Genomic DNA, 25,582 nt, shown 5'->3' with positions numbered 1-25,582 from the left:
GGATTGAGACTCAGGAATCCTTAGCCTACAGAGGATGCTGTACAAAAGTTGTGGGGTGGGTGCGATTCTCCAGGAAGAATGAATAGTGTAAGAATGAATAGAAGAGGGCTCAGATTACAGCCTCAAGGAACACTAGTATTTAAAGGTTAGAAAGAAAAGAAATCCAAGAAGAAAAACCCGCACAGCATGACATGGAAGGCGAGGAAAGAGTTCGAAGAGGAGAGTCCTGTCAAATATAGCCAAATGGTCAAATAAGGTGACGCCTAAATAAGTAGCCCCTTGTGTTTAGCAACAGAGATGGGGGACTTTGCTGGGGGAAGTTTCAGTGGAGTGGTGGCACTAGGAACCAGAAAGTAAATGGATTGGTGAGGAATGGGTGATGGTTTAAGTGTAGATACTCTTCAAAAGGGCTCACTACAAAGGAGGAGCAAGATGGCAGCACTGAAAGGGGATTGCCAGGTTGAAGGATGCCTTTTTTAGTGGAAGAGATTCACGTATGTATAAAAGCTGAGGAAAAGGAGTCGATAGAGATAAGGTTCAGTTGGTTACAGGAGAGAGCCTTTTTGAAGGGGTGAGATACTGAGAAGGAAGGTAGTCACCAGATACAGCAAACAGATGAGTGAGTGAAGTCTTCAACAAAAGACATCTTTCCACTGTGACAAGCAGTGGGGAGAGATGGGGTCTAAACAGTTATTTTTTTTTGTATAGAAATGTACCATTTTATTACAAAGGTCTCAAAAATGAAAACGGTATCTCAAAAAGGAAACTAGACCACCAACCTCCACCTGCAGAATTAGGGGAAGACAAAGGGCAGGCAGTGTGAGTTTCTTGGCTCACCTGAGGCCACTGGGAAGGTATGAGGACAGAGCCAATCTAAAAATGGCTGATGTTACATTAGCAGCCTGAAAAGAACGGGAGACCCTTGAAGACCTGGCCACCCCTTCTAGAATGTTCAATAAGGGTACCTTTCCAAAGCTACTAAGCAGGCATTTGGCATTTTCAGGATTTTGTCTTATGGTTGCATGAAAGTATCCCTTTCACCCAAACCTGGTACTCTTTATGGTTCAAAGTTAAGAACTGGGGAAGGATGGAAGGATGGGTGGCAAGGCAGCTCCTAGAAGAGTTCACCCAGCATAGCTGCCCTGGGCTCAGGGCCTTGGTTTCTGTCTAGTCCCTGGGGATATTTATATTTAATAAACTTTCCTATAAATACACAGAGAAATAGAAAGCATAAAATCTGAGGTGTTGGTGGAGAAAGGCAGGGGACTTGGCAAGAAGCCAGAGCTGGAGAGGTCTGCTCAGGCCAACCTGACCTCCTCCTTGACCCCTTTGGCTTCTGGCTTCTCCTCCTTGGTTTTCTCCTCTTCTGTGACTTTGCTCTTCTCATCTAGGTCTTTCTCTTTTCCATCCTGTTTTGACTCTCTTGGCTTTTTTGAAGTTGGAAGAGTTCTTGTGGCCACCCTCTCTCACCTCATCAGAGTCAGAGAACTCTTCCTCACAGGCAATTCGTTTGTCAGAGGAACAGATCGAGATCCATTTGTCAGGGTCTTCTTCGCTCTCATCGCCACTCTCCTCAGGGACAGATCCTCTGGAATCACCTGCATTTGGACCCAGGTTTGTGGGGCAGCATTCTCAGGTTCTCAAACAGTCGCTGTTTATCTTCTCCAAGTACCATTCGTGTTCTGGTTAGTCATACTGGAAGGACTGATGTGGAGCCTGAAATCTGGTCCAAACTATTCCAAGTAGTCGCTGTATGGAAGCTCATTAGGGATCTCTGTATCCAGGGCCACACCTGTCTCATATGTCCAGCACTAGGCAACATTACAAATTGGAACCACTTCCTCCCAGCATCAGCATAGGCAGGTTAAAGCTCTTGACAAATTCCATACACTTGGCATGCCCCCCTCAACCCTTTTTTTTTTTTTTTGAGATGGAGTCTCACTCAGTTCTCCAGGCTGGAGTGCCCTGGTGCAATCAGCTCACTGCAACCTCCGCCTCTAGGGTGCAAGCGATTCTCATGACTCAGCCTCCCGAATAGCTGGGATTACAGAAGTGCACCACCATGTCTGACTAATTTTTGTATTTTTAGTAGATGCGGGGTTTCACCATGTTGGCCAGGCTGGTGTCAAACTTCTGACCTCAAGTGATTCTCCTGCCTGGGCCTCCCAAAATGCTGAGAACAGGCATGAGCCACCACGACAGGCCAGCATGTGCTTTGATGATCAGATTGAAGCAACCTAACCAGTCCCCAGATAAGGAGTCTGAGCCACACTGTAAGAGCACTGAACTTGAAATGGCCTCATAGGACTTGTCGTCAATCCCATCTCGGAGCAGGTAGTTAACAGCATAATACTTGCCTTTGCCAGCCCCAATATCCTGTAGATCCCTAGTTCCTGAAAAGTTCTCTCCCTACTTAGGAGAAGACATAGTCATGACCCAGTCTGTGGTATAGAAGGCCTCTTCCATCCCATCGCCGTGGTGAATATCAATGTCAATATACAGCACCCTCTGGTGATAGGTTAGCAGTTCCAGGATGGCCAAGACAATGTCATTGATGTAATAGAAGCCAGATGCCTCAGGCTTCTTGGCATGGTTCAGGCCCCCAGCCCAATTCACAGCGATGTCTATCTGCTGCTTATTAAGTTTCACAGCACTTGCCAGAGAGCCACCAGTAGACAACTGTAAGAATTCAAACAGGCCATTGAATACTGGACAGTCCTTGCTGACGTTGAATCTGCATCTGCTTGCTGTGCTCGAACATGTATCTGAAGAGATGGAGCGCAAGAATTTAATGTAGTCATCCCTGTGGTACTTGGTCATCTCCTCAGTACTGGGTTTGTGAGGGTGACAGATTTCTATTGTTCAGTGGAGACCATAGCTGGGCAGCAAATTGTGAGTAGTAGATTTGGTGAGGCTTCATTGGATGGTCTTGTCTATAATATTAATTTCCAACATCCCCGTCGTAGTAGTAACAGACTTTCCTCCTGGTGCCCTGTGTCTGCGTCATCTTGCTTGCCTTCCATCCCTCCCATCAGTTGGTCTCAACAGTAATGTTTAAGGTATGGGAATGGTAAGTGAAGAGTACTCATGACTTTTGGTTTCTATTTTCTCAGCGGAATAAAAGACAAGGATATTTGCCTAGAATGTTTTCCCCTATCTTCCCACCTAAGTTCCTTTTTATTTCAAAATGACCACATAAAGCCTGGGACCTTTCTGTTACTCTCTTTCATGGCACCCTGATCTTTGCCTACAATTGAATGTAGCTTGTTGTTATGTAATATTTTGGTTTACCTGTTAATCATGTATCTCCACCACTGGACCATAAACCCAATCAAAGAATGATCCATGTCTGGTTTGTTCAATATTGCATATCCAGCACCTAAAAGTACCCAGCACTAAATGGTCAGTACATATTTGTAAATTGAATGAATAAAACCTCGTCTTAATCACTCATCTGTCCTTCTCCTGTGCTCCCATGGAACTCTGCTTATATCCTAGTGTTACTGTTATTAAACTCTACCTTTGATTACAGTTAGTTGTGTAGAGGTTTATCTCCTTCACATTATTTAAAGTCCTTGAGGACAAAGGCTGTGCCTTATATACTGTTTCTCTCACTACAGATGCCTGTTTTTGAACAAGGTAGTGTTTTAAAATAATGTTGCTACAAGATCCCTGGGTAAGACAGAATCCAGAGATTAGCAACAAGAAGACACCTTACGAAGTTGTTATAACGTCCAGGAAAGAGAACAGAGGACTGAACTAGACATGAAGAAATGGAAGAAAGAAACCAGAAGTATAATCTATTGCACTTGATGACAAGATTCATTTGGTTCTGAGGGAATGGATGGAATACAAGAGAGTTCTGAGAATTTTAAATCAGGTGCCTGGCAGAATATGGTTTCTATAAATTAAGCAAGAAATATAGGAGCAATAGCAGATTTGACAGCTGAGAGATAAGCAATTAGAAGGAAAATGAAAATAACTTTCTGATGTTTCTCAGTTAAGTTGTATTTATTTGGTGCTCACTTCATATCCATATGTTCCTGTCAGAAAAAATATATACATGGATCAAACCCTTAAGTGATTTGTTTGTTATTTGGGGAAATGAGATTTACTTATGAAATCTAAAACTTTTTTTTTTTTTTTTTGAGACGGAGTTTTGCTCTGTCACCCAGGCTGGAGTGCAGTGGCACAATCTCGCCTCACTGCTACCTCTGCCCTCCCAGGTTCAAGCGATTCTCCTGCCTCAGCCTCTGGAGTAGCTGGGATTACAGGCATGGGCACCATGCCTGGCTGATTTTGTATCTTTAATAGAGACGGGGTTTCTCCATGTCGGTCAGGCTGCTCTCAAACTCCCAACCTCAGGTGATCCGCCCACCTCGGCCTCCCAAAGTGCTGGGATTACAGCTGTGAACCACCGTGCCCAACCTATTTTTTTTTTTTTTTTTTGAGATGGAATCGCATTCTGTTTCCCAGGCTGGAGTGCAGTGGCATGATCTCAGTTCACTGCAACCTCCACTTCCCAGGTTCCAGTGATTCTCCTGCCTCAGCCTCCCGAGTAGCTGGGATTACAGGCGCTCGCCACCATGCCCAGCTAATTTTTGTATTTTTAGTAGAGACGGGGTTTCATCATGTTGGCCAGGCTGGTCTTAAACTCCTGACCTTAGGTGATCCGCCCCCTTGGGCCTCCCAAAGTGCTAGGATTACAGGTGTCAGCCAAAACTATTTGAATACACAACAGAATTAACTATTTAAAGTTGTGTTATTAGCAGTGAGTTTTAATAAAGACCAAAAGAACAACTTGAAGTGTGGGCTGGGATTTTCAGGGAAGGAACTGTAAGGGGGCAGGATGTAAACTGATTTGAAATATAAGCAGTATTTGGAATGGTGCAAAGTCATGGCAGAAGGATGTGAGGAACAGTGAGGAGGCACCCTTCTTTTACTAAGCACACAGATTGTATACAATGAAAGAATACATTTTATACAACATTTTATAATTAGCACGGGAAAAAATACAATAGGTGGACACAGAAGGACTGACTGCTAATCCTCACATAAAACTAGATTTGAGGCTAGGCTGAGTCAGAAAAAGTAGAAAATGCAGTGATAAGGAAAGAAAGAGAATTGGGCAGCAATGAGAGAATCAACAGTTTTGTTTCCCTTTATTATTATTATTCTAGCCACTGGGAATCACCAAGAGTCTACTAAGGAGTTTGTCTCACAACAACAGTTGTATTTCAAAGCAGAATAAAAGTAATCTTCTCAGAATGGAAGATAAAGGTTGGAAAGAAGATCTCCTTAAGAAAGGGAAGATGTGGGGGTTTAACTCTGTTAATAACTCTGTTATTTTTTTCCAAAATAAAGCATAGAAAGCAACGAAGTATGGATACATGAAAGGGAAGAGAGATATGGACTACCTGCCCTTAGTTGTGTGAACCTCATGCATATGTAAAATTCTTTCATGGTAACCAAAAGAGTTAACGTTAAAAGTCGAGGGAAAAACTTTCCCAGAAAATGGAGGTACTGGGTGACAGGAGAGAGCTCATGTAACCCGAGTCTGGGTGGTCTCAGGCATGGTATAAAGAACTAGGCCAACCAACTGCACTAGACATAGAAACTAGCTGAATAAACTCATCCACTCCGATTTCATTTCAGGTATCTCATGAGAAACTAGAGGACAAAAACAATTCCAAAATTAACAAAACAAAGTTTACTCTAGCCATCAGTGCCAATGAACATAAATGACTGCCTGAGAGTTATATTAACAAAATAATTAATTCAGACGAATTAAAGAATTAAACCAGCTATGGGAAATATACACTCTATACTTAGATGCACATTTATTTTATTTTATCTTATTTGGAGACAGGGTCTTGTTCTGTCATCCCGGCTGCAGTCCAGTGGCGCAATCATGGCTTACAGCATCCTCAACCTCCTGGGCTCAAGCAATCCTCGTGCTTCAGCCTCCCGAGTAGCTAGGACTACAGGATGTGTGACACCACGCCCAGCTAATGTAGAGACAGGGTTTTTCCATGTTGCCCAGGCTGGTCTCGATCTCCTGGACTTAGGTGATCTGCCCGCCTTGGCCTCCCAAAGTATTTGGATTACAGTCATGAGCCATCAAGCCTGGCCTGAGGTGCACATTTTAAAAATATGGAATTTAGAACGGCCAGACAAATAATTTTACTTAAATGATTTCAACCTTTGTAAAATATACTATATGCTTCTGAATTTGTACACAGAAATCTTTCATTAAAAAATTATGAATTAATTGATTTTTTTGCTTTACTGTCATTTGGCAGACATAAACAAGACTGTAAAGATTATTTTAGTAACACCTGAAAAATTAAGTATCAAAAGTCAAAATAAACACTTTTATGGGAGGACCAATGACGACAAAGAGAGGGCAATAAGAGGAGCTTTGCTTCAGGCTCAAATTTTGCATTGTTTTGAAAGGTAATATAGTCCATCTTGGTTAAACACTGGAAAAATGAATGAACACATACAAAACAGGGAAAGCAGAAAAGTTTTTCAGTTTCTTTCTAATAAAAAAATCTAGACATACTAATATTCCAATAAATGGGTTAAAAAAAACCCTAGTGTACAACATAAAGCACAAATCCGTTTAAAATCATAATGCCCTCATTATGAGAGGACAGTATAACACATGGAAGTTCCAGACTAGTACAATTAGAAAGAGCTGACAGCATTCACATATATAACCTGAAAAAATTATATAACTGTTTGCTTATGTCTAGAAACAAACTATAGGCCTAGTAGAATGTGAAACTAATTTCAATAATTTTTATTTTCACAGATGATAAATAAGGCATTTAACTTATGAGTCTTTAAGAAACACTTTAATAAAATACACAGTTATGTCTGGTAGCAACAGAAAGGTAAGTTAAATAAGTTTGAAACAATATGCAACCATGTAAAATTCTCTAAATCAAATTTCAATATTAGCAAAATATATAGTGAAGAAAGACTAGAGGATACTCTAATCAATAATTCATGACACTAAAGTAACACTGAAAAAACATTCATGATGTTCCATTTTTTTTAAATGTGGAAATTACCAGAAAAATATTTTATATTAAAATATACAAAGTTGGTACAAATCTACGAGGCTTATTAACCAGACTCCTTAAGACAAGTAGTTAAAAGACACTGAGAGCTTATACATGAAGAAGCACAAACTATTCATTAAAAATATTCCATTTTATTGCTAATAAAAGAAATACAAATTAAAGCGAGGCATCAAATACTAGAATTTGTATCCATTATTGAATCAGGGTATGGAGAATAGGTACATTCAAAAGCCTTGGGTCACACATATCTTTTGGCAATGATAAAAGAGCTATCCGATCACTTACACCCTTTGACCCAGTAATTCCACTCTGAAGAATTTATCTAAACATATATCCCAAAGGGGAAAAAAGTATACCACATTGTTTTTTATCAAAAACAATGGAAACAACTCAGATGTGCAATAAGCAGGGAATAGTTAAATAAATTACGTTACGTAACCCAAGGAGAATAACATAGCTATTAAAAAGGAAGGAGTGCATTCTTATGACAAAGCAAGAAGTGCATATCAAAAGCTTCTAAGGTTAAAAAAAAGAATGGAACATAATATAAAACATTACTAACACATAAAATGTTATATTTACATAATAAAGATGAGTATTTTGAAAATAGCTTTAAAAAAGTTTACAGGTTTTTTACTGTAAAGCTAATAAAATTGGTATGAAAAATAAAAGTGAAGACTAACAATTTTTGAAGTCACCAATATTTCTAGGAGAGTTTCTTAAGGTATGGTATAAGAAATATTTCTTTTTTAAAAAATGGTGTCAAGTTTCCCTGGAAAGTCATTTCTGGGAACTGTGAAGCAAATCAGCCTTTGTATAGTAATATCTATAATATAATATTTCCAGTGGGGACTCGTGGTTTCATAGCTGAAAAACTTTGTTTTGGTAAGCTGGAACAGAAAGTTGCAGACTATACTGAAATATATTAGAATGAGCTTCTGATGATCAAATATTTTAGTAATAAAAATTTGGCTTTTAAATTCAACTCAAAGCACTCTAATATTTTAATCCTCAACATGTTAATAATAATGATAAAAGACTAAAGTGTTTGGCTACTATAAATTAATCATCTTTAAGACATAAGCACATCTTACCTACTGTCCATAGAGATCTGTAATATCTATCCCCCCAAAATAATTTTTGTATGTTCTTTTTGCTCTGCTCATTAGCTAAGCTGCTGCTTCAACTTTGAGCATTTTATTGTGTCACTCAGGTCAAGTGGGGTTCTTATGATAAAAGTTAGTCACAAAACAGGATTACAAAACATGTTCTCTAAAGTTCATTATTTTAGAACTGATATGAGAGTCAAAAATTTTAGCTTTTTAAATATTTCACCTAATTTTTCTATGAATAATGATGGAAAGCTTTCAAAATAAGTGATATAAAAGTGGGCATTATATAGTACATGTTCTCTATTAAAGCATTAACTCATTTTTTTTAACCCCATAAGGAGGGAAAAGCCCACAAAACTCATAAGCTATAACTAATCACATTTAAACAAATAATTCGGTAAAAAAATCATGATAATTGACTAACTGACACAAAGCATTTAAAATAATTTCCCAATGGAAGTCGCCATCCCTTAACTTCCATCAAAACATGCTGTATCCTCTACTGAAAAATATTTGTGGAAATAAAATTACAAAGCCCACACTAACCTGAGAGCTCTGTACACAGGGATGGCTCACTATAAGGCTGCCTCCTAAGCAGCATGAAGTCCATGCCAGAAAGCCCCATTGCTACACTAAAAAAGTACAGTTTATATGAGGTTAATTCTCTGAATTCTCTACCCTTTCTATTAAGGTAAATAAAAGAAGACAGAAAGTACTAGTGAATAATGCATGCTGAATCTCTGAAATTATCTTAGTAAAGGCTAAAATATCATTCTTAAAAACAGATGGGCAAAATACTTAAGAAATAAATTATTCTAATTGCAGTGCCAGAAGAAAAAAAATAGTAGACATTTTGGTTATGTGAACTTGCTTGGCTGTAACATACTTAGTCCATTTATAATAGTGTCTATTATTATAAATAACCTCACATACAGAACATATGTAGGCAACACAACAGTGTGCTAAGAAATGAAATGCCTGTTTCCAGTATGTTGTACTTAAATATTTGTAAATTTTCTTTACTAAAGTTGAGAGGTTTCTATTACATTTTTATTTTATTTTATTTTTTTATGATAGAGTCTCGCTCTGTCGCCCAGGCTGGAGTGCAGTGGCGTGATCTTGGCTCACTGCAAGCGCCGCCTCCCAAGTTCACGCCATTCTCCTGCCTCAGCCTCCCAAGTAGCTGGGACTACAGGTGTGTGCCACCTCGTCCAGCTAATTTTTTGTATTTTTAGTACAGACAGGGTTTCACCATGTTAGCAAGGATGGTCTCAATCTCCTGACCTCGTGATCTGCCCGCCTCGGCCTCCCAAAGTGCTGGGATTACAGGCGTGAGCCACCGTGCCCAGCCCTACATTTTTAAATGCTAGATATCAATGTCAGATATAGCTGTGAAATATTCATTAGATTAGAATTTTCACTATTTTCTTTTATCCTTGAAATATTTATTGAGTACTTACTAAAAACAAGGTTTCTGTTTTCGACAAAGCAATTTCTGACAGCAGCTACGTTTTCCTCCTTCTCTAACTAAAAGTCAACCTCTATTTTTGTGTTGTTTTTATTTAATACGGCACTGCAGAACAAAGAGGAAATAATAGTTTTTAGAGACAGCTACTGTGGCAACTTTTGAAAGTGAAAAAAAGTCATGTAATTTTCCCTACCTACAAACAAAAGGCAGATTAGATAATTTGGCAATTTTCCTAAGAAAACATAGGAGAAAAATGCTCTTCGGTTCCTGGAATATTTTAATTGTTAAAATTTAAATTTGGAGTACAAAAATTTACTTACTTCCAAGCTGCCTCTCTTTATTGGATTCAGGACTAATAATTTCTTCAGAAGATTTTCACAGTCTGTGGACATATAGAAGGGAATACGGTACTTCCCTCGTAAAACTCGCTCTCGCAGTTCCTTAATAAAAGTGAAAGAAAGCACTTATAACTGGTTTTTGACATAATCATACTTGGGGATAAAACATTAATAAAGAATTTAGCTGATACCTTTAAATTCTGGCCATCGAAAGGCAAGGAGCCACTGACTAATGTATAGAGAATGACGCCCAGACTCCACACATCCACTTCAGGCCCATCATACTTCTTTCCTTGGAAAAGCTCGGGAGCAGCATAGGGTGGGCTTCCACAAAATGTGTCCAATTTGTTCCCAACTGTAAATTCATTACTAAAACCAAAGTCAGCAATTTTAATATTCATATCACCATCAAGGAGAAGGTTTTCAGCCTAAGAGGAAAATAATAGAAAGAACAATGTAAAAAGCCTACATAAAATAAAAATATTTGTAAAAGAGTTTTAGCTTCCAAACTTACATATCTCTTGCCCCTCATTTCTAAATGTAGTATCAAATTTAGAAGCCCAGTATGGTACTTCAATGCATAACTGTTCTGAATTACATCTACATAAGACTAAATTTTAACACTACATAAGGAAAGCTCTCTTTATATGCATATATGCAACTACTTAAGAAAGGTTATTTAAAACCTATTTTCTTTCATAGGTTATTTTAAACTCATTTTTTTCCTCACAGTCAGAAACATCCTGGAAGCGTACCTTAATATGACCTACTCTAAAGAACATAATACGAATCCATCTGGGACTTAAACCAACATGATTACCCAAAGGAGCTCTATTTTAATAGGGTATTGTTGGTTAAAGCAAGGCTCAAAGGTATATCTACAGTAACTGCCTGTCAGAGGTTCTGTGACTACTAATTCATTCCTTTGTTCTCTCTTGTAGAATGTTTTCTCAACAAAGTACTGTTTCAGTAAAACATGACCAAAAAATACAGCCTCCATTATATCTTGTCTGTTTTAAGCTTCTTTTTGCTGTTCTAAAACTAGATTCTCTTCTTGATGTATATTTTACATAGAAAACAATGAATTTTCCACGTTTTGAGATGGTTTTCCAAAATCCTAAAGCAGAATCACTCAAAGACAATATTTTACATGTCCCTTTTGTAAACAGAAGCAACTCAATAAAGGACTTGCTTTTGTACATGTTTTATTTTAAACTCTATTACAATGGATGGATAGACTAACAAAGTAATAGGTTACTTTGTAGATGTGTTTTATCAGGTTCCAAAAAGAAATAAAATTTGACTAAAACAAAAATCAGATTTCTCTATATTACTGGAAGGTCCAACAATTATAAGAGTCAAGCACTCTGCCCATCATCTATCTCTTCCCTCCCTACCCACCACAACCTTTCTTTTCTTCTTTTTTATGGTATACTAGCTTGGGATATTTGTTTTCATTTTATTTTGGAAAATGCAGATACACCTAGAACCCAAAATATACAATAAAAATAGGGTATAATTTATCACATAAATACTATAAAAGCACATATATTTGGAAAAATTTATATTAGATTGTCACATTTTTGAACTGTGACAAAACCAGGTTATTTTTATGTTCTGATGTAAGGGGCTGGTCATTGTAAATTTCTGCAGCTGTTTGTGAGCAAGCTGGACTTTTTTCAGTCTCTCTAAAAATGTCTGGATGGATATCAAAGTATCCAAGCTGCCTCAGAAGAGAAGAGCTGCAAGGGGTTCTGAGGTCTCCTTCCAGGAATGTACAGGAAAACTCTCTCTATTGGACTGGAGGGAAAACACAAGGTTTTGAACATGATTATTTTTTGCAGATTTTTTTCATATAAGAAATGAGATGATAAACTGGGAGTTAAACACAGAAGCAGGGGAACAGTTCTTTTCTTTCTCATTCATCATAGAAGTGATTCCCCTTAAAATAGCCAAGGAAGGAAACCAAGAAATAGAAAAATTTGGAGCAACAGAAAATTCATAAGCTCTGAAAAATGAAGCTAAAATACAGAATTAGACTTGACTTTTTGACAACTGTTTAGGATAATATATTCAAATATAACCCAAACTGGTGATAGTAGTTGATAAAGGTGATGAGGAAAAAAGTAAAACAGAAAAATAAGAGTCCTATGTAAGGGACAATGCAAATTAAATTTGGAAGATTAGAGAAAAAAGGAAAAACAGGTATAAACATTTTAGTCCAGGGTGTTTCCACTTTCAACAAAATCTATGTGGCACAACCATTTATTGACTAACTACACATTTCTTATTCCAAAGTATGCTCATTTGTACTATTATACACATTTAATGTTCATAAAAATGTTTTACAACTTTCCTTAGTTCTTTGAGCTTTAAGGTAGAGTGTGAATACTGTCTCTTACGTAAGGGAAACATGGGTCTGTGCTCTGACTTTGCTTCTGCCTGAGGTCCCACACTTTTGGCTGGGAACGAAGTTCCATATCTATGCATTTAAAACAAACTAATTAATAGTGAATCAAATCGTCTAACTTCTAAAGCTAGAAAACTTATCACTCATATTTTCTTCATTTGCTCAGTGAAAATATTACCTTTCATAAAGTTGCTGTGAGAATCAAAAACTAACTACTTGTATAGTGTCCAGCAGCACAGTTAGGCAATAAAATAGACAGCTCTAATATTATTATTAAATATATGTTAATAATAACGATTTTTTTTTTAAAAAAATTACACTCAGAAGCTTACCTTAAGATCACGGTGAACAATGTACTTTTGATGACAATACTGTACAGCAGATACAATCTGGAATAAACATTTGGATAAAAGAGTCAAATTATTAAAAAAACGCAATTTTCCCCAATAATCACCTCCAATTTAGATAAATTACTAATTCGGATTTCAAGGTAATATTTAATAAATATGCAATGCTTTTAGTTCAGAAAACTATACACATTAAAGTGATGAAACTTTCACTGTTAAATGCAGAAAATATGGTAAAGTAATATTCTCTTGCGAAAATACAATAAAATATTTCTTTGTCAGAGGCTGTGAAGATTTCATATGGATCATTTATAGTTCTCTGTTTATGTGACTGAATGTGTACAATTTATAGTTTTGGCCAAATGGTTTATTATAGTGTTGAAATAAAAGCTTTGGCACACATGAATTAGTATTTTAAGATAATTGTCTCAAGTTAAAAAAGCAAAACTCTATTCTAGGAATTACATCAAATGTGTTCAAGGCATGTTTCTTTAGTGAGGCCAAATCACTAAGAACTTAACAATGAGGTATTTAGCAATATCTATATTTATCTGTTCATATATAAAGAGAAAGGAAAATGTTTGAGCCTTAAAAAGAAACCTGATCAGCAACAGAAAAGAGGGAAAAATGAAATTCAATCTTAAACCTGTCACTAATTCAGTCAGGTGAAGTATTCTATGCCTGTAACTTGATTTTGTATGCAGCCATAATTTTTAACTATCACACAGGGCTCTTTGGAGAAAAGGACTAAACAAGGAGGAACCCAACAGTTTAAAGGCCAAAACTATGAGAGAAATAGATTATAAACAATTCTATGATAGTTCTTTATTACATAAAATACAGAAATAGAAAGCATCTGATAGCAATCAATTAAGAACTATTTTGTACATATAATTACATCTGATGAATAGAAGGACAGTCATTTTAATGTACATCAGAACATTCAGTTCTGTGGATTCAGTTAAATATAAAAACAGTTTGAATGTTAGGCATTTACAAATGGAGACAAAAATGAGATTTTTTTAAAAGTCTAAAGGTGATGTGAAGTATGACCATGCTAATAGGAATATGGGTGGAAAAAAAACTTCAAAGTACAAGTAAACTGATATTTCAGTATTATAAAATTATTCTAATGTATATTAAAATGGTTTGAAGACAGAGAAAACATGAATTCAAAACAAAATCATCAACACACAATGAGTAATACACAATTCCATTTAATTCATTTTGATTCAACAGTTTATTGAGTACCTGCTATGTGCAAGGAAATGTGATGGTTGCTAGGCAAATACAAAAATGAATACTAAGTGGACTCTGTCCTTAAGGCGCTTACAATCTGATTAAGAAGAGAAAATAAGGTATATATTCTCTATATACCTTGTATTATGGAGGTATATATTATTATATATAGAGGTATATATTATTACCTTTCTATATATTGTATATAGAGAGGTATATATTATTCCCCTATAATACAAGGTAGAATCACAGAACTCTACCTTTTATGAGAGAATCATAAAAAATAAAGAATAATTTCAGTTGGAAATGCTTCCTGAAGGAGGTGATATTTGGTCTAAGCCATCCTTGAAGGACAGAAATATTTTAAAATGTGGAGATCTGGGGATGGGGAGGTGACGAAATGCATTAATGACAAGGGAACTGTGTATTTGAAAAGCAGGTAGGACTCATGCCTATAATCTCGGCACTTTGGGAAGCTGAAGTGGGAGGATGATCGCTTGAGGCCAGAAGTTCAAGACCAGGCCTTGGCAACACAGTGAGACCCCGTCTCTACAAAAAATAAAAATATTAGCTAGGTGTGGTGGTGTGCACCTGTGGTCCCAGCTACACGGGAGGCTGAGGCAGGAGGATTTCTTGAGCCTAGGAGGTCGAGGTTGCAGTATGCCATGTTCACACCACTGCACACCAACCTGGATAACAGAGTGAGACTCTGTCTCAAAAACAACAAACAAACAAACAAACAGACCAACCGACCAAACAAACAAAATAAACCCCACAAAACCAAACCAAACCAAAAATCATTTAAAGAAAAGGAGGTGGAAAAATGGTGACAGTGGGAGTCAAATCTTGACAAATAGGTTGGTCAAAGTCATGAATTCAAAACTAGGCAGGTACTGCAGAACCACTAGATGTTCTTGGGCAGGGTGACTGGGAATGATTATAATCAATTTGAAGTATGATTCCCCAAAATACAGAAGGTTCTAATGATGAAAATTTGTAGTATTAGTTTTCTTAAGCAATATGCTTCAAAATTCTAATACCCAATTTTCACTGAATTATGTTCATTAGCCAAAAGATACATACATTTATATGTATATTTTATTAGACATACTATATAGGTTATAGTATGTTCATATTATAAGATTATTTCGTATCATGAGTGCCAGAAATTTGCTGATAATTACATTATCTTTTGTTAGTCACATGTTTGTATGAGCCACTGAAGGTATGCAACAGATAATAATTTGGTTACCAAACATGATCAGAGGCCATGCAACTCATGTCAGACAGAATGGTCTCTATGAAAACAGTTCTATAAGTACTTCTGGAATCAAACATTTCCTGAGCCTCAAAGCATCAAGAATGCAAAGATAATTACAAAGAATCCTCTGCATTAAGCATGTGTTCTCCCCAAATTCTATGAACTCTGAGCTATCAGTCAAATGTGGTAGTTTATTATAGTATTACCACATTTGCTTAGCAGGGAACAATTTCTGCCATGAAAGAAGTTCTGCCTTCTGACTCAATGCAAGAATCCCCCTCCACAAGCCCAATTTTTACTGCATTATTTTACAGCTAGACCTTCCCATCTCAAACCATTCTGTACTTCCATAAATAGGATATCGGAACTTCCCTATGAGCCTTCTATTAATGGATCCTGAAAACATGATTTACTGTCAGCTGGGTACTGACGGTAAGACCACACACATCAGTGTTTTCCATTGAGGTGGAGTTATCACGGTTACTTTGCAATTGTTAATACTTATAAGTGGTAGACTTGATATTGCAAGAATTGAATCAATATTACGACTTTTTTTTTTCTGTAGGCTCAAGTCTTAAGGGATGTAAAAGCATTGTATGGGCAATGGCTGCTCAGTGGTCTTAAACTGCCCAAGTGTCTTTGGTATTTCTAAGAGTAAGGTCAAGGATGTATATACATTTATTATTGTTGACACAGTATTAATACATACATTCTTTCACTGTTAAAATAAAAAAGCAAATAAAAGTAAATGTATATTCATTAAGTCCATAAGAGTTTAAATCAAATCCATAAATAAAAGTAAGCTCCTCAAAAATAAATTTAAGTATAAATTTATCTGTAGTCAGGTAACTACAAAATAATGTATGTGTGTGCATGTGTGTATGTATGTTTACATATCTCTGGTTTGTAAAAATGTGAGTTAGTAACTTTTTTAGTTTTGGGAAAACATATATAGATACTAAATACATTTAAAATTTATAGTAAATAAATACATTATAAAGAAAATATTTGCCATTGTTTTACAATTTATATAGCATTCATTTGGCACTCAGTCTCTGCAATGTAAAGAATATGAAGATGATTTCAAAATATTACAGACTTTATTTAAAAAACCAAGCCAATTTTAGTAATTATTTGTATCTCTATTAAAATACCTATGTCCCAACCTCTTATCCTGCTCTCGCTCACCAGCAAAGATGGAAAGCTCTTTAAAATAGCAGGCATTTCCAACTTCTCTAATTCCATATAGTACCCAGTACAATTTTCTACATCTATCAAAAAATAAGTAAAACTAGCTGCCTTAAAAAATAAGTAGCAATAATCTTTAAAATATACATTAGGATTCTAATGGGAATATTTAACGCAAATTGGAACTTTCTTGCTGGTCTGCTACTAACAAAAGCTACTGTGACTGATATTAAATGAATAATACTTAAAACGATGTGTGTGGCTGGGCACAGTGGCTCACGCCTATAATCCCAGCACTTTGGGAGGCCGATGTGGGCAGATCACCTGAGGTCAGGAGTTCAAGACCAGCTTGGCCAACATGCTGAAACCCCATCTCTACTAAAAATACAAAAATTAGCTGGGCGTGGTGGTGTGTGCCTGTAATCCCAGCTACTTGGGAGGCTGAGGTAGGAGAATCGCTTGAACCCAGGAGGCGGAGGTTGCAGCGAGACAAGATAGCGCCACTGCACTCTAGCCTGGGTGACAGAGCAAGACTCTGTCTCAAAAAAATAAAATAAAAATAAAAAATAAATAAATAAAATAAATACATGTCGAGGGACATTCCAAGAAGGCCGAACAGGAAGACCTCTGGTCTGCAGCTCCCAGCATGATCATCCCAGAAGACAGGTGATTTCTATATTTCCAACTGAGGTACCTGGTTCATCTCACTGGGACTGGCTGGACAGTGGGTGCAGCCCACGGAGGGCGAGCTGAAGCAGGGCAGGGAGGCACGAGGGGTTGGGGTATTTCCCTTTCCTAGCCAAAGGAAGCCGTGACAGACTACCTGGAAAAACGGGACACTCCCCACCCAAATACTACGCTTTTCCCAAGGTCTTAGCAACCAGCAGACAAGGTGATTCTCTCCCGTGCCTGGCTTGGCGGGTCCTACGCCCACGGAGCCTTGCTCACCGCTAGCACAACAGTCTGAGATTGATCTGCGAGGCAGCAGCCTGGCTGGGGGAGGGGAATTTGCCAATGCTGAGGCTTGAGTAGGTAAACAAAGCAGCCAGGAAGCTTGAACTGGGTGGAGCCCACCGCAGCCCAACTAGGCCTACTGCCTCTAGACTCCATCTCTGTGGGCAGGGCATGGTTGAACAAAAGGCAGCAGGCAACTTCTGCAGACTTAAATGTCCCTGTCTGACAGCTCCGAAGAGAGCAGTGGTTCTCCCAGCATGGTGTTTGAGCTCTGAAAATGGACAGACTGCCTCCTCAAGTGGGTCCGTGACCCCCATGTAGCCTAACTGGGAGACACCTCCCAGTAGGGGCTGACAGACACCTCATATAGGTGGCTGCCCCTCTGGGACGAAGCTTCCAGAGGAAAGATCAGGCAGCAATATTCTCTGTTCTGTAATATTTGCTGTTCTGCAGCCTCCACTGGTGATACCCAGGCAAACAGGGTCTGGAGTGGAACTCCAGCAAACTCCAACAGACCTGCAGCTGAGGAACCTGACTGTTAGAAGGAAAACTAACAAACAGAAAGGAATAGCATCAACATCAACCAAAAGGTCATCTACATAAAAACCCCCATCTGTAGGTCACCAACATCAAAGACCAAAGGTAGATAAAACCACAAAGATGGGGAGAAACCAGAGCGGAAAAGCTGAAAATTCTAAAAATCAGAACACCTCTTCTCCTCCAAAGGATCGCAGCTCCTTGCCAGCAACAGAACAAAGCTGGACGGAGAACGACTTTGACAAGTTGACAGAAGTAGGCTTCAGAAGGTCTGTAATAACAAACTTCTCCAAACTAAAGGAGGATGTTTGAACCCATCACAAGGAAGCTAAAAACCCTGAAAAAAGATTAGACGAATGGCTAAGTAGAATAAACAGTGTAGAGAAGACCTTAAATGACCTGATGGAGCTGAAAACCATGGTGCGAGAACTTCGTGATGCAAGCACAAGCTTCAATAGCCGATTCGATCAAGTGGAAGAAAGGCTATCAGTGACTGAAGATCAAATTAGTGAAATAAAGCGAGAAGATAAGGTTAGAGAAAAAAGAGTAGAAAGAAATGAACAAAGCCTCCAAGAAATACGGGACTGTGTGAAAACACCAAATCTACATTTCACTGGTGTACCTGAAAGTGACAGGGAGAATGGAACCAAGTTGGAAAACACTCTTTAGGATATTATCCAGGAGAACTTCCCCAACCTAGCAAGGCAGGCCAACATTCAAATTCAGGAAATACAGAGAACATCCAAAGATACTCCTTGAGAAGAACAACCCCAAGACACATAATTGTCAGATTCACCAAGGTTGAAATGAAGGAAAAAGTGTTAAGGGGAGCCAGAGAGAAAGGTTGAGTTACCTACAAAGGGAAGCCCATCAGACTAACAGAGGATCTCTTGGCACAAACCTTACAAGCTAGAAGAAAGTGGGGGCCAATATTCAACATTCTTAAAGAATTTTCAACCCAGAATTTCATATTCAGCCAAACTAAGCTTCATAAGTGAAGGAGAAATAAAATCCTTTACAGACAAGCAAATGCTGAGAGATTTTGTCACCACCAGGCCTGCCTTACAATAGCTCCTGAAGGAAGCAGTAAACATGGAAAGAAACAACTGGTACCAGCCACTACAAAAACATGCCACATTGTAAAGACCATCGATGCTATGAAGAAACTGCATCAATTATTGGGCAAAATAACCAGCAAACGTTGTAATGACAGGAGCAAATTCACACCTAACAATATTAACCTGAAATGTAAATGGGCTAAATGCCCCAATTAAAAGACACAGAGTGGCAAATTGGATAAAGAGTCAAGACCCATCAGTGTGCTGTATTCAGGAGACCCATCTCATGTGCAGAGACACACATAGGCTCAAAATAAAGGGATGGAGGAAGATCTACCAAGCAAATGGAAAACAAAAAAAAGCAGGGGTTGCAATCCTAGTCTCTGATAAAACAAACTTTAAACTGACAAAGATCAAAAGAGACAAAGAAGGCCATTACATAATGGTAAAGGGATCAATTCAACAAGAAGAGCTAACTATCCTAAATATATATTCATCCAATACAGGAGCACCCAGATTCATAAAGCAAGTCCTTACAGACCTACAAAGAGACTTAAGACTCCCACACAATAATAATGGGAGACTTTAACACCCCACTGTCAATATTAGACAGATCAATGAGACAGGTTAACAAGGATATCCAGGACTTGAACTCAGCTCTGCATCAAGCAGACCTAACAGACATCTACAGAACTCTCCACCCCAAATCAACAGAATATACATTCTTCTCAGCATCACTTTGCACTTATTCCAAAACCGTCCACATACTTGGAAGTAAAGCACTCCTCAGCAAATGTAAAAGAACAGAAATCACAACAAACTGTCTCTCAGACCACAGTGCAATCAAATTAGAACTCAGGATTAAGAAACTCACTCAAAACCGCACAACTACATGGGAACTGAACAACCTGCTCCTGAATGACTATTGGGTGAATAACAAAATGAAGGCAGAAATAAAGATGTTCTTTGAAACCAATGAGAACAAAGACACAACATACCAGAATCTCTGGGACACATTTAAAGCAGTGTGTAGAGGGAATGTGTAGCACTAAATGCCCACAAGAGAAAGCATGAAAGATCTAAAATCGACACCCTAACCTCACAATTAAAAGAACTAGAGAAGCAAGAGGAAACACTTTCAAAAGCTAGCAGAAGGCAAGAAATAACTAAGATCAGAGCAGGATTGAAGGAGATTGAGACATAAAAAAACCCTTCAAAAAAATCAATGAATCCAGGAGCTGGTTTTTTGAAAAGATCAACAAAATTGATAGACCAGTAGCAAGACTAATAAAGAAGAAAAGAGAGAAGAATCAAATAGATGCCATAAAAAATGATAAAGGGGATATCACCATTGATCCCACAGAAATGCAAACTACCATCAGAGAATACTATAAACACCTCTATGCAAATAAACCAGAAAATCTAGAAGAAATGGATAAATTCCTGGACACATACACTCTTCCAAGACTAAACGAGGAGTACGTTGAATCTCTGAATAGACCAATAACAGGCTCTGAAATTGAGGCAATAATTAATAGCCTAGCAACCAAAAAAAGTCCGGGACCAGATGGATTAACAGCCAAATTCTACCAGAGGTACAAAGAGGAGCTGGTACCATTCCTTCTGAAACTATTCCAATCAATAGAAAAAGAGGGAATCCTCCCTAACTCATTTTATGAGGCCAACATCATCCTGATACCAAAGCCTGGCAGAGACACAACAAACAAAGAGAATTTTAGACCAATATCCCTGAAGAACATCAATGCAAAAATCCTCAATAAAATACTGGCAAACCAAATCCAGCAGCACATCAAAAGGCTTATCCACCACAATGCAGTCAGCTTCATCCCTGGGATGCAAGGCCAGTTCAATATACGCAAATCAATAAACGTAATCCATCACATAAACAACAAACAATGAAAACCACGATTATCTCAATAGATGCAGAAAAGGCCTTTGACAAAATTCAACAGCCCTTCATGCTAAAAACTCTCGATAAACCAGGTATTGATGGAACGTATCTCAAAATAATAAGAGCTATTTATGACAAACCCACAGCCAATATCATCATACTGAATGGGCAAAAACTGGAAGCATTCCCCATACTCAATGGGCAAAAACTGGAAGCATTCCCTTTGAAAACCGGCACACGACAGGGATGTCCTCTCACCACTCCTATTCAACATAGTGTTGGAAGTTCTGGCCAGGGCAATCAGGCAAGAAAAAAAAATAAAGGGTGTTCAATTAGGAAATGAGGAAGTCAAGAGGTCCCTGTTTGCAGATGACATGATTGTAAATTTAGAAAATCCCATCATCTCAGCCCAAAATCTCCTTAAGCTGATAAGCAACTTCAGCAAAGTATCAGGATACAAAATGAATGTGCAAAAAATCACAAGCATTCCTATACACCAATAACAGACAAACAGAGAGCCAAATCATGAATGAACTCTCATTCACAATTGCTACAAAGAGAATAAAATACCTAGGAATCCAACTTACAAGGGACGTGAAGGACCTCTTCAAGGAGAACAACAAACCACTGCTCAACGAAATAAAAGAGGACACAAACAAATGGAAGAATATTCCATGCTCACGGATAGGAAGAATCAATATTGTGAAAATGGCTATGCTACCCAAGGTAATTTATAGATTCAATGCCATCCCCATCAAGCTACCAATAACTTTCTTCACAGAATTTGAAAAAACTACTTTAAAATTCATATGGAACCAAAAAAGAGCCTGCATTGTGAAGACAATCCTAAGCAAAAAGAACAAACCTGGAGGCATCATGCTACCTGATTTCAGACTATACTACAAGGCTACAGTAACTGAAAGAGCATGGTACTGGTACCAAAACAGAAATACAGACCAATGGAACAGAACAGAGGCCTCAGAAATAATGCCGCACATCTACAACCATCTGATCTTTGACAAACCTGACAAAAACAAGAAATGGGGAAAGGATTCCCTATTTAATAAATGGTGCTGGGAAAACTGGCTAGCCATATGTAGAAAGCTGAAACTGGATCCCTTCCTTACACCTTACACAAAAATTGAAGATGGATTAAAGACTTAAATGCTAGACCTAAAACCATAAAAGCCCTAGAAGAAAATCTAGGCAATACCATTAAGGACATAGGCATGGGCAAGGACTTCATGACTAAAACACCAAAAGCAATGGCAACAAAAGCCAAAATAGACAAATTAGGATCTAATTAAACTAAAAAGCTTCTGCACGGCAAAAGAAACTACCATCAGAGTGAACAGGCAACCTACAGAATGGGAGAAAAGTTTTGCAATCTACCCATCTGACAAAGGGCTAATATCCAGAACCTACAAAGAACTCACAGAAATTTACAAGAAAAAAACAAACAACCCCATCAAAAAGTGGGCAAAGGATATGAACAGACACTTCTCAAAACAAGACATCTATGCAGCCAACAGACACATGAAAAAATGCTCAACATCACTGGTAATCAGAGAAATGCAAATCAAAACCACAATGAGATACCATCTCACGCCAGTTAGAATGGTTAAAATGGCAATCATTAAAAAGGCAGGAAACAACAGATGCTGGAGAGGATGTGGAGAAATAGGAACGCTTTTACACTGTGGGTGGGAGTGTAAATTAGTTCAATCATTGTGGAAAACAGTGTGGCAATTCCTCAAGGATCTAGAACTAGAACTACCATTTGACCCAGCAATCCCATTACTGGGTATATACCCAAAGGATTATAAATCATGCTACTATAAAGACACATGCACACATATGTTTATTGTGGCACTATTCACAACAGCAAAGACTTGGAACCAACCCAAATGTCCATCAATGATAGACTGGATTAAGAAAATGTGGCACATATACACCATGGAATACTACGCAGCCATAAAAAAGGATAAGTTTCTGTCCTTTGCAGGGACGTGGATAAAGCTGGAAACCGTCATTCTCAGCAAACTATCACAAGGACAGAAAACCAAACACCACATGTTCTCACTCATAGGTGGGAATTGAACAATGAGATCACTTGGACACAGGGCAGGGAACATCACACACTGGGGCCTGTCGTGGGGTGGGGGGCTGGGGGAGGGATAGCATTAGAGAAATACCTAATGTAAATGATGAGTTGATGGGTGCAGCAAACCAATATGGCACATGTATACCTATGTATCAAACCTGCATGTTGTGCACATGTACCCTGAAACTTAAAGTATAATTTAAAAAAGGAAGAAAAATAAAATAAAATAAAATAAAATAAAATAAATAAAAATTTAAAAAAATGATGTGTGTAATACTTTATTTAAGGGTAAGCTTGAACTTCCATCCCAGGATAGAAAATAATATTACAGTACGTGGTTGAATGCCATTCAGTTTCTTAAAGTTGTTTTCCTTATTACTAGTTGTCTTTACATTCAGCTATTTTAACACGAATATTTCTAGGAATCTATCACAAATAAAAGTGCTATGCATACCTTTGGTATAAAGCATTTCACAAATTGTGTTCCAAAAAGCAATAATTCTGTGAAACATTAATAACAGAGGTTTCACAAAACAAACACACTCATTTCATGGTCAATTTGGAGAATGCCATGTTACAACAAGTTAAACAGGCTTTTTCCTCCCCTCCCTTTCAGGACTTCTCTATTTGTTTAACATGTTAACACACACATATGTATCTTAGAGAAAGATCTTATATCAGTATTTGGTCTTTTCCGAACATACTGATTACAGAACCTCTTTAATTGTAGAATTAAAGTGTTCATGCAGGCAGAAGAGGTAGCGAGCCATTTTTAAAATTCTAAATTTAATAAAAGTTTAGGATATAGTAAATTATCCACTTAAACTTTAGTAAATTTTATGAACAATTTACAATTTACAATTCACTAATTTGCTATTTCTATGGTAACTTATATGTATGCTTACAATTTACAATTCACTAATTTGCTATTTATATGGTAACTTATATGTATGCTTATTTCAATCACTTCAGTTCTAAAAATTAAAAATAAAATTCTAGATAAATTTATTTTTTCTTATTTTATCATTTCTGTAATAAGTCATATTCAAGTTGAACTGGAAATATGAGTATCTTACCATATTCCTCTGCCACAATTTGGAGTTTCTTGCCTACTTGGTTAAAATAAAATTGACCATATTCTTTAAATCTACAAAAATGAGTTTAAACACCAAAACATCTTTAATTAAAAAAATATAATACAATAAACTCTTTAAACAGTACACATATATGCTGTATATATAAAGCCAGTAATAATTTATAATAATTATTGGATAAAGACTTCAAAGGGTTAACTAATTTTTTTCTATCTCAGTCTAGTCTACGTTTCCAGGACTCTCAGAGAGTCTTAATAAGGTGAGTCTCATCTATAAATATTTATTCTTTATGACAATCTGAAAATAACCATCTGCAACTATTTAAATTTAAATTCAGAAAGGTTTATTTTTTAGGAGTTTTCCATCCTTAAAAATATAAGAAAGCAGGAATTCTTCTTTTTAAAATACCATGTGCTGTGAAGTCCAGTTTGTAATACTGTCCATTGTACATCGCTACAATTATCAGCAAAACAAAGTTGAAAACTACTTTCCATACCTGCCTAAATTTTGCACGGGCCTCTTTCTCTTTCATTCTTCCATGGGCAACTAAGTAATCAAATACTTCACCTGAATCAGAAAGGTAAAGCAGGTAGTAAAATATACATAGATTTTTGGTTAACAATATATGCAATGTCAAGTTTTTTCCTTGTTTATAAAGAAACTTTTGGCCCACAATTTTCTGCTAGTTTATGTAAGTTACAAACTAACACATGAATAGAAAAAAGGAAAAAATTACATATAAAATTGAGTATCTGTAGCAGTTTGTGATTTAGCAAAACTCTTTAAAAAATAAGTCATAAAAACACAACCAAGAAAACTTGCTTTCTGCTTTCAAGTATTATGTAAAAATACAGTCAACTCTTTATTATACATTCTAGTAAAGGGAAGCCACAGCCTGGTCAATCAAAAATTACATTTGGCTTTGTATTTGGGGCCTACGTTTCAAACAAAATGATGAAGTGTGTTTTGTTGGATTGCTCTTTTAAATTCTCCCTGTCATGTAGTCTGGATAAAATTCCATCTCACTACTTCCATCCACATTGATTTATTTCTTTCCTTTCCTATACTCTGTGTTTATTCTCACTCTACTCATTTCATACATTCTAGTAGTCAGCCACAAATTATACAGAATTAAATCATTTGTGTGTGTATCTCTAATACCCCAGCTGAACTGTAAATTACTTGAAAATCATCATAATATCTGTACTTAATTTGCATCTTCATCTTCATGGCAGAACACGAAGTGGATAGATAAATGTTTGGTGAAATAATTTAAAAAGAACTAGAAGCTGTATAAATTTTCTACTGGATCCATTACTTTACATGTCTGTAAGTTTTTCTCCTTTTTCTCTAGTTAGTAATAGCTTAAAACTAAATTAAACTTGAGTTACAATTTTAAAAATAAAATATTATCTTAGTATAAGGATTAAATTTATTTTTGTGTCCTTATAATTTGTACCAGATAGATA

The 25,582-nt window shown here is 37.1% G+C and overlaps 1 protein-coding gene and 1 pseudogene across 11 annotated transcripts in view; both read right to left on the bottom strand.

Moving 5' to 3' along the window:
* Nucleotides 1–25,582, bottom strand: part of MARK1 (microtubule affinity regulating kinase 1) — a 136,326-nt gene that overhangs the window by 35,715 nt on the left and 75,029 nt on the right. For 10 of the 11 annotated variants that reach the window (XM_017001305.3, NM_001286124.2, XM_005273134.6 and 7 more), the window contains 4 exons: nt 24,610–24,680; nt 12,752–12,808; nt 10,201–10,437; nt 9,992–10,111 (listed from right to left, as the gene is read on the bottom strand). In XM_017001305.3, coding sequence (XP_016856794.1) covers nt 9,992–10,111; nt 10,201–10,437; nt 12,752–12,808; nt 24,610–24,680 — 485 coding nt within the window. Of the gene's footprint in view, nt 1–5,807; nt 9,777–9,991; nt 10,112–10,200; nt 10,438–12,751; nt 12,809–24,609; nt 24,681–25,582 lie in introns of those variants that run through there. The other variant, XM_024447090.2, reaches the window with a different exon arrangement.
* Nucleotides 1,105–3,041, bottom strand: HDAC1P2 (histone deacetylase 1 pseudogene 2; annotated as a pseudogene).

This window comes from Homo sapiens, chromosome 1, assembly GCF_000001405.40.
Source record: "Homo sapiens chromosome 1, GRCh38.p14 Primary Assembly".
Lineage (NCBI taxonomy): Eukaryota > Metazoa > Chordata > Mammalia > Primates > Hominidae > Homo > Homo sapiens.
This window is presented reverse-complemented; position numbering and strand designations above follow the sequence as displayed.